The sequence below is a fragment of the Homo sapiens genome, chromosome 2, assembly GCF_000001405.40.
Source record: "Homo sapiens chromosome 2, GRCh38.p14 Primary Assembly".
Taxonomy (NCBI): Eukaryota; Metazoa; Chordata; class Mammalia; order Primates; family Hominidae; genus Homo; species Homo sapiens.
Window position 1 is genome coordinate 68,675,902 of NC_000002.12, and position 10,603 is coordinate 68,686,504.

Consider the following 10,603-nt stretch of genomic DNA (forward strand, 5'->3'; position numbering starts at 1 on the left):
TTGAGGACTTAGTCATAAATTATTCCCCAAGGCCCATGTCGAGAATGGCATTTCCTAGGTTTTAGGATTCCTTTTTTTTTTTTTTTTTTTTTTTTAAAAAAAAAAACAGGGTCTCACTCTGTCACCCAGGCTGGAGTGCAGTGGCACAATCTTGACTCATTGCAGCCTCAACCTTCCTGGGCTCAGGTGATCCTCCCACCTCAGCCTTCTGAGTAGCTGGGACTACAGTTGCCTGCCACCATGCCTGGCTAATTTTTGTATTTCTTGTAAAGACAGAGATTTGCCATGTTGCCCAGTCCGGTCTTGAACTCTTGGGATCAAAGTATCTAACCACTTAGCCTCTCAAAGTGCTGGGATTACAGGTGTGAGCCACTGTGCCTGGCCTTATTCTAGGATTCTTATAATTTGAGGTGTTATACTAAATCTTTAATCCATCTTGAGTTAATTTTTTTTAATTAATTTATTATTATTATACTTTAAGTTTTAGGGTACATGTGCACAATGTGTAGGTTAGTTACATATGTATACATGTGTCATGCTGGTGTGCTGCACCCACTAACTCGTCATCTAGCATTAGGTATATCTCCCAATGCTATCCCTCCCCACTCCCTCACCCCACAACAGTCCCCAGAGTGTGATGTTCCCCTTCTTGTGTCAATGTGTTCTCATTGTTCAATTCCCACCTATAAGTGAGAATATGTGGTGTCTGGTTTTTTGTTCTTGCGATAGTTTACTGAGAATGATGATTTCCAGTTTCATCCATGTCCCTACAAAGGACATGAACTCATCATTTTTTATGGCTGCATAGTATTCCATGGTGTATATGTGCCACATTTTCTTAATCCAGTCTATCGTTGTTGGACATTCGGGTTGGTTCCAAGTCTTTGCTATTGTGAATAGTGCCGCAATAAACATACGTGTGCATGTGTCTTTATAGCAGCATGATTTATAGTCCTTTGGGTATATACCCAGTAATGGGATGGCTGGGTCAAATGGTATTTCTAGTTCTAGATCCCTGAGGAATTGCCACACTGACTTCCACACTGGCTGAACTAGTTTACAGTCCCAACAGTGTAAAAGTGTTCCTATTTCTCCACATCCTCTCCGGCCCCTGTTGTTTCCTGACTTTTTAATGATTGCTATTCTAACTGGTGTGAGATGGTATCTCATTGTGGTTTTGATTTGCATTTCTCTGATGGCCAGTGATGATGAGCATTTTTTCATGTGTTTTTTGGCTGCATAAATGTCTTCTTTTGAGAAGTGTCAGTTCATGTCCTTTGCCCACTTTTTGATGGGGTTGTTTGTTTGTTTCTTGTAAATTTGTTTGAGTTCATTGTAGATTCTGGATATTAGCCCTTTGTCAGATGAGTAGGTTGCGAAAATTTTCTCCCATTTTGTAGGTTGCCTGTTCACTCTGATGGTAGTTTGTTTTGCTGTGCAGAAGCTCTTTAGTTTAATGAGATCCCATTTGTCAATTTTGGCTTTTGTTGACATTGCTTTTGGTGTTTTAGACATGAAGTCCTTGCCCATGCCTATGTCCTGAATGGTAATGCCTAGGTTTTCTTCCAGGGTTTTTATGGTTTTAGGCCTAACGTTTAAGTCTTTAATCCATCTTGAATTGATTTTTGTATAAGGTGTAAGGAAGGGATCCAGTTTCAGCTTTCTACATATGGCTAGCCAGTTTTCCCAGCACCATTTATTAAATAGGGAATCCTTTCCCCATTGCTTGTTTTTCTCAGGTTTGTCAAAGATCAGATAGTTGTAGATATGTGGCGTTATTTCTGAGGGCTCTGTCCTGTTCCATTGATGTATATCTCTGTTTTGGTACCAGTACCATGCTGTTTTGGTTACTGTAGCCTTGTAGTATAGTTTGAAGTCAGGTAGTGTGATGCCTCCAGCTTTGTTCTTTTGGCTTAGGATTGACTTGGCGATGCGGGCTCTTTTTTGGTTCCATATGAACTTTCAACCCCTGCCTTTTTTTGTTTTCCATTTGCTTGGTAGATCTTCCTCCATCCTTTTATTTGGAGCCTATGTGTGTCTCTGCACGTGAGATGGGTTTCCTGAATACAGCACACTGATGGGTCTTGACTCTTTATCCAATTTGCCAGTCTGTGTCTTTTAATTGGAGCATTTAGTCCATTTACATTTAAAGTTAATATTGTTATGTGTGTATTTGATCCTGTCGTTATGATGTTAGCTGGTTATTTTGCTCATTAGTTCATGCAGTTTCTTCCTACTCTCGATGGTCTTTACATTTTGGCATGATTTTGCAGTGGCTGGTACCAGTTGTTCCTTTCCATGTTTAGCACTTCCTTCAGGAGCTCTTTTAGGGCAGGCCTGGTGGTGACAAAATCTCTCAGCATTTGCTTGTCTGTAAAGTATTTTATTTCTCCTTCACTTATGAAGCTTAGTTTGGCTGGATATGAAATTCTGGGTTGAAAATTCTTTTCTTTAAGAATGTTGAATATTGGCCCCCACTCTCTTCTGGCTTGTAGAGTTTCTGCCGAGAGATCAGCTGTTAGTCTGATGGGTTTCCCTTTGAGGGTAACCCGACCTTTCTCTCTGGCTGCCCTTAACATTTTTTCCTTCATTTCAACTTTGGTGAATCTGACAATTATGTGTCTTGGAGTTGCTCTTCTCGAGGAGTATCTTTGTGGCGTTCTCTGTATTTCCTGAATCTGAATGTTGGCCTGCCTTGCTAGATTGGGGAAGTTCTCCTGGATAATATCCTGCAGAGTGTTTTCCAACTTGGTTCCATTCTCCCCGTCACTTTCAGGTACACCAATCAGACGTAGATTTGGTCTTTTCACATAGTCCCATATGTCTTGGAGGGTTTGCTCATTTCTTTTTATTCTTTTTTCTCTAAACTTCCCTTCTCACTTCATTTCATTCACTTCATCTTCCATCGCTGATACCCTTTCTTCCAGTTGATTGCGTCAGCTCCTGAGGCTTCTGCATTCTTCACATAGTTCTCCAGCCTTGGTTTTCAGCTCCATCAGCTCCTTTAAACACTTCTCTGTATTTGTTATTCTAGTTATACATTCTTCTAAACTTTTTTCAAAGTTTTCAACTTCTTTGCCTTTGGTTTGAATTTTCTCCCGTAGCTCGGAGTAATTTGATCGTCTGAAGCCTTCTTCTCTCAGCTCGTCAAAGTCATTCTCCCTCCAGCTTTGTTCCGTTGCTGGTGAGGAACTGTGTTCCTTTGGAGGAGGAGAGGCGCTCTGCTTTTTAGAGTTTCCAGTTTTTCCTGCTCTGTTTTTTCCCCATCTTTGTGGTTTTATCTACTTTTGGTCTTTGATGATGGTGATGTACAGATGGGTTTTTGGTGTGGATGTCCTTTCTGTTTGTTAGTTTTCCTTCTAACAGACAGGACCCTCAGCTGCAGGTCTGTTGGAGTGCCTGGCTGTGTGAGGTGTCAGTCTGCCCCTGCTGGGCGGTGCCTCCCTGTTAGGCTGCTTGGGGGTCAGGGGTCAGGGACCCACTTGAGGAGGCAGTCTGCCCATTCTCACATCTCCAGCTGCGTGCTGGGAGAACCACTGCTCTCTTCAAAGCTGTCAGACAGGGACATTTAAGTCTGCAGCGGTTACTGCTGTCTTTTTGTTTGTCTGTGCCCTGCCCCCAGAGGCGGAGCCTACAGAGGCAAGCAGGCCTCCTTGAGCTGTGGTGGGCTCCACCCAGTTCGAGCTTCCCGGCTGCTTTGTTTACCTAAGCTAGCCTGGGCAATGGCGGGCGCCCCTCCCCCAGCTTCTCTGCGGCCTTGCAGTTTGATCTCAGACTGCTGTGCTAGCAATCAGCGAGACTCCGCGGGCGTAGGACCCTCCGAGCCAGGTGCGGCAGATAATCTCCTAGTGCGCCGTTTTTTAAGCCCGTCAGAAAAGCGCAGTATTCGGGTGGGAGTGACCTGATTTTCCAGGTGCCGTCTGTCACCACTTTCTTTGACTAGGAAAGGGAACTCCCTGACCCCTTGCGCTTCCCAAGTGAGGCAATGCCTCGCCCTGCTTTGGCTCGCGCACAGTGCGCGCACCCACTGACCTGCGCCCACTGTCTGGCACTCCCTAGTGAGATGAACCCGGTACCTCAGATGGAAATGCAGAAATCACCCATCTTCTGCGTCGCTCACGCTGGTAGCTGTAGACCGGAGCTGTTCCTATTCGGCCATCTTGGCTCCTCCTCAATTTTTGTATATAGTGAAAGGTAAGGGTCCAGTTTCATTCTTCTGCATATGGCTAGCAAGCTATTCCAGTACTATTTATTGAATAGGGGATACTTTCCCCATTGCTTATTTTGGTCAATTTTGTCAAAGATTTGATGGCTATAGGTGTACAGCTTTATTTCTGCATTCTCTATTTTTCTACAGAAATTTTAGGGTTTATAAAGTGAACATATACAAGCTGGAAAACAATGTAGCAATTATTTAATCTAAACTCTTTGTTTTATAGAAAAGAAAGTTTGGCTCTAGGAATTTGCTGAAGATTGCATAACTAATTGGTAGTAGGATTTTAGAAAAATTGTTTTCCCATTCAGTTAGGGTTGCAGTGTAAGTTCAAAGTTGTTACTTCATGCATTCACTTAACAAATACTTATTACAGGCCTACTATGTGGCAAGCAGTGCTCTAAACACTAGAAGTCTGGTGGGTGGGAAAATCAGAAAAAGCTTTGGCTTCTGGAGTTTATATCCTTGTGGGGATAGACAGGGAATAAACAAATGAATATATACTGTAGAAAATGAAGAAAATGAAGACCAACAGCAATTGGGGATGATGGTTATTTTAGATTGATGGCTGTTTTAGATTTAGTTTTCTTGAAAGAGGTGGCATGTGAGCAGACACCTCAATAAGGTAAAGGAAAAAGCTGTTGGCATATCTGGGCAGAAAATTCCAGGTTGAAGAAAAAGTGCAAAGGCCCTGAAATGGGAAAAAGACTGGAGTGTTTAAGGAATAGTGAGAAGGCCGGGGTAGGTGGTGCAGAGTGAATAGAATGGAGGAAAATTAGTGATAGAAACTGGGGAGCCAGAAGCCAAATTACACAAGACCATGTAGTCCGTGGAAGGACTTTGTATTTTATTCTAAGTGTTTGAGAAGACATAGGGGAATTTCGAGTGGAGGAGTAATCAATACGAAGTGCCTTTAACATGTGCATTCTCCCTATCATGTGTAGAATAGACTGTGGTTGCAGGGGTGGGACAAGGAGGCCAGTTAGGAAGCGCTAGTCCTGGTGAGATATAAATGTGTCCTAGGCAAGTGTATTAGTCTGTTCTCATACTGCTAATAAAGATGTACCAAAGACTGGGTAATTTATAAAGGAAGAGGTTTAATGGACTCACAGTTCCACATGGTTGGGGAGGCCTCACAATCATGGTGGAAGATGAAGGAAGAGCAAAGGAATGTCTTACATGGCAGCAAGCAAAGAGAGCATGTACAGGGGAACTCCTCTTTATGAAACCATCAGATCTCCTGAGACTTATTCACTATTTATAAGAACAGCACCTGAAAGACCCGTCCCACCCCCATGATTCAATTACCTCCCACTGGGTCCCTCCCATGACATGTGGGAATTATAGGAACTACAATTCTAGATGAGATTTGGATGGGGACACAGCCAAACCATATCAGTAAGGTAGTCATATTCAGCTTCACTTAAAAATTGATGCCATAAATGTAGTTAGGTTTTAATGGAAAGTTCACATTTTTCTAGCAAATCCACAGTCATTAAGATGTTCTTTCCTGCATGTGTGGTGGGCCAGGGGCAGAACACACATGCACAGGTATGTGCCCATACGTGTTTGACAGCTCAAATGGGACATTGGATCTATTTGGGAGGACTATTTCAATGGGAAAAGTGGATGGATTCAGGCTATATTTTGAATTTGAAACTAATAGGACTTTACCAGTATTAAATATAGGAAGACAGAAGAGTTGGGGTGCTTCCAAGGTTTTTCCTGAAAAACGGGGCAAAGAGTGGTAACATTTCATGTATTGGGAGTGCTGGGGATAACCAGGCTTTGGGAGAGTAGTAAGATATTCAAAAAGAGTAAGTTTAAGTGTTAAGTTAGAATGAAGGAATTGAGAAGGTACTCAGATATACCATTCTGGAAATCTTGAGAAAAACGGGGACTGGAAATCGAGCCATCAATGTCTAGACAATATTTAATGCCATTGGATCACATGAGATTGTCTAGAAGGTATGCATAGAAAGAAGAGATGGCCAATGATTAAGTCCTGGAACACTAGCAAACAGAGGCTGTGTGAAAGAAGAGGATGCATTAAATGTTACCGAGAGGGAAGGAGTTAAGAATTAAACAAATGAGTCCTGTGTACTAACATACACCAGGTTGTTCAGCATACACCAGGTTGTATGCTGGAAGCGGCACATAAACATTAGTTGTTTCATGTATTCATTTACTTAAATACTTATTTAGAGAGAAAAGGTCCTTTCCTTTCCCACATGGAACTTAGTCTTTCATGGTGGAAGGTATGCCACAGCTTAGTAAACAAAAATTTAGAAATCAGAAATTAGTAACACAGAAAACAATAAAAATTAAAATGTGGATGGTCAATGAAACCAGTAAAGTTTGTTCTTTAAAAAGACTTGTAGAAGAGGGAAATCCCTGTCAAAATTGACAAAGGACACAAGAAGAAAAGGCAGGAAAAAAAAATTATGAAAGTACGATATAAGTACAAATAGAGTAGCTCTTTTAAAAATCATAAGACATTATCATGAACAACTTTATGCCAATATATTTAAAAAGCTTAAGTATCCAACAACTACAAAATACACATTGATTTTCCAAGATAGATTATCGGCTGGGTCATAAAACAAGTTTTAATAAATATCAAAGAATTGACATTATACAGAGTATGTTCTCTGACAAATGTGATTGGATAATAAATCAATATCAATTATACAGCTAAAATAATTCTTCAGAGTTTAGAAATTAGCACATTTAAAAATAATCCAATGATTCAAAGAAGAAATTATAAGGAAAAAATATTTTGAACTGGATGATAATAAAACATAATATATCAGTATTTGTGGGACAGTTCTTAGAAAAAATTTATAGTTTTAAATGCTTATACTTAAAGGAAAATGGTTTAAAATTAATGACCTAAGTTTTCACATGAATACGCCAGAAATGAAAGAAAAAGGTAAATCTAAAGGAAGTAGAAGAAAGTAAATAATAAATATAAAAACAAATTTTAAAATAAAAAGAAGGCTGAAAAATGGACACATTTAAAGTTTGTTCCTTGAAAAGATTAATAAATTGATACATCCTCAGCAAGACAGAGAAGAAAAATACAAATAACCAATACCAGGATTGAAACAAGAGATATCAGTGAAGATTCTATATTTATTAAAAAGAGGGGGTAATATGAACAATTTTATGCTAATAAAATTTAAAATTCAGATAAAATGAATGAATTTCTAGCAAGATACAACTTAACAAACTTACACACACAAAAAATGGAAAATCTTAGTAGCTTGCCTTCCTTCCTTCCTTTCTTTTTTTTTTTCTGAGACAGTGACATTCTCTATTGTCCAAGTTGGAGTGCAGTGGCAAGATCATAGCCCACCATAGCCTTCACCTCTTGGGTTCAAGCAAACTTCCCACCTTAGCCTCCTGAGTAGCTGGGACTAAGGTGTGCACCAACACACTTGGCTAATTTTTAAAATTTTTTTGTAGAGATGCAGTCTCACTATGTTGCCCAAGCCAGTCTTGAACTTCTAGGCTCAAGTGATCCTCCTGCCTCAGCCTTCCAAAGTGCTAGGATTACAGGTGTGAACCACTACACCCAGCTGAAAATCTTAATAACTTCATATCTATTTAGAACACTAGGTTTGCAATCAAAACTCATTCGCCCCCTCCCTCATAAAAACAACCACCACCAATAGCAGTAACAAAATCTCTGTCTCAAATAGTTTTATGAGGCTAGAATAACATTGATACCAAAACCTGACAAAGATATTACAATGAAAGGAAATTATAGACTAATATTCTTAATTAATTTAGATGAAAAATTTCTTCATAAGATCTAAGAAAACTGGATACAGTAATATATTCAATTGTATTAAAATATATTTGAATGTATATATGTATTACATGTAATCCAGTAATATATATGTGTGTGTGTGTGCATGTGTATGCATATGTAAAATCACAACAATGACATTTAGCCTGGGATGGCAAGATTGGCAAAACACTTGGAAAACAACCAGCATAATTCACCACATTAACGAATAAATAATTAGTAATTGAAGTAATTGAAGTGAGCATCCTTAACCTGATAAGGAGTGCCTACTAAAAACCTAGATAAAATATAAATGTTTTTCCTTTAAATCTGGATCATGACAAGGCTGCCTGCTCTTACCACTTCCATTCAACATTATGCTACAGTTCTGCTAGTTTAATAAGGCAATAACGATATTTAAAAAGGCATAAAGATTGGAAAAGAAGAAGTAAAAAGGTTTTGCTCTGTTTCCCAGGTTTGAGTGCAGTGATGCGATCATGGCTTACTGCAGCCTCAACCTCCTGTGTTCAAGCAATCTTCCTGTCTCAGTCTCCCAAGTAGCTGGGACTATAGTGCATGCCACCACACCCAGCTAATTTATTAATATTTCTTTTGTAGAGATGGGGGTCTCACTCTACTGACCAGGCTTGTCTTGAACTCCTGGCCTCACATGATCCTCCCACATTGGTCTCCGAAAGTGCTGGGATTACAGGTGTGAGCCACCACATCTGGCTGGAAAATACAATTTTAAAGCAATACTATTTACAATAGTATTAAAACCCATTTGTTACTTAGGAAGGAAAGATGTGCAAGACCTCTGTACTTGAAACTCCAAATCCTGTTGTTATTAAATTAAAGAAGACACTGAGTTAACTTTTTAAGAATTAAGTGGATCATCCAATCAACCATCCAATGTTTGTGGATTGGAAAACTCAGTTTTGTTATGATACTTATTCTTCTCAAATTTATAGATTTAACAAAATTCCAATTAAAATTCCAGCAAGCTCTTTTCTGTAGAAATTGACATGCTGATTCTAAGATGTATATAAAATGTGAAGGATCTAGAAATTTAAAAAGAAGAACAGAGTTGGAGGACACCTACCACTTGATTTCAAAACTTACCATAAAACTATGGTAATCAATATGGTGTGGTATTGGCATAGGACAGACAACTTAATCAAAGGACCAGAAACGAAGGTCCGGAATCAGACCCGCACATATACGGGCAATGAATTTTTGACAAAGGCACCAAAACAATTCAATGTGAAAAAGCAACTTGTGTTTGTTTGTTTGTTTGTTTGTTTGTTTTTCAACAAATGGTCCTGGAACAATTGAATAGCTAAATGGCAAGAAAAGAACCTCAAACCTTCTTTCTATAGATACACCAAAATTAATTTCAGATGGCTCAAAGGTTTAAAAATATAAGCAAGAACTAAAGGGCTTGTAGAAGAAAACATAGGAGAGTATCTTCACAGTCTTAGGGGCAGAAATAGATTTATTGGACAGAACATAAAAACATAATATAAAATAAAATTTTATAGATTAGAATTCATCGAAATGAAAATGTTCAGCTCATATGAAGACACCAGTAAGTAAATAAGTAGGCAAGCCACGAACCAGGAGGAAAAATTTGTAATACGTATATCTAACAAGAACTTTAATCCAGAATAAAGAATTACTAAAAATTAACAATGAAATGCCAACCCAATAAAAAGTAGCAAAAGCCTTGAACAGATATTTCACAAAAGAAAATGTATGAATGGCTAATTAGCACATGAAAAGTTTCTCTCTCATTATACTATAATCTCCACAAGGACAGAGAATATATTTGTTTTGTTGGTATTCTTTTTTTAAATTTTATTTTACTTTAAGTTCTGGGATACATGTGCTGAACCTGCAGGTTTGTTACATATGTATACATGTGCCATTGTGGTTTGCTGCACCTATCAACCCATCATCTAGGTTTTAAGTCCTGCATGCATTAGGTATTTGTCTTAATGCTCTCCCTCCCCTTTCCCCCCATCCCCCAACAGGCCCTTGTGTGTGATGACTTAAAGGTGAGCAGAACTTAGTCTGGTGTCTTAGTTTATTCAGTCTGCTATAACAAAATACCTTAGACTGTGTAGTTCATAAATGAAACTCACAGTTCTGCAGGGTGGGAAGTTCAAGACCAATGCACTGTCAGATTCAGTGTCTGGTGAGGACCTGTGTCTCATAGATAGCACCTTCCATGTGTCCTTATGTGGCAGAAGGGGAAACACGCCTCCTCAAGCCTCTTTTATAAGGGCAGTAATGCCATTCATGAAGGCTGCCCTCATAACCCTATCACCTCTCAACGGCCCCACTTCTTCACGCCATCACCTTGGGCCTTAGGTTTCAACATAAGAATTTTGTTGGGGGCACAAACATTCAGTTCACAGCTCCTGGTATGGGATATGCAAAGGTCCAGGGAAGGAAGCAGGCCCTCCCACAGAGAGGCGTCTGAATGGAAACAGAGCAAGCTAGGGTAGGAGAGAAGCATTCTACTTAGATGGAACTCGACTGGTTAAGAATCTATTAGACAGAACTGGATTTTTACATGCCAAACAAAAGGGCCT

General features: G+C 39.4%; 2 annotated features.

The window, feature by feature from the left end:
* Positions 3,231 to 3,855: an enhancer, noted in NCBI's record as "NANOG-H3K27ac-H3K4me1 hESC enhancer chr2:68906264-68906888 (GRCh37/hg19 assembly coordinates)". NCBI's record gives its function as "activates a minimal SCP1, AML or CMV promoter by ChIP-STARR-seq in naive H9 embryonic stem cells {active_cell/tissue: H9 hESC(naive)}" and the evidence as "EXISTENCE:reporter gene assay evidence [ECO:0000049][PMID:30033119]".
* Positions 3,856 to 4,480: an enhancer, noted in NCBI's record as "NANOG-H3K27ac-H3K4me1 hESC enhancer chr2:68906889-68907513 (GRCh37/hg19 assembly coordinates)". NCBI's record gives its function as "activates a minimal SCP1, AML or CMV promoter by ChIP-STARR-seq in naive H9 embryonic stem cells {active_cell/tissue: H9 hESC(naive)}" and the evidence as "EXISTENCE:reporter gene assay evidence [ECO:0000049][PMID:30033119]".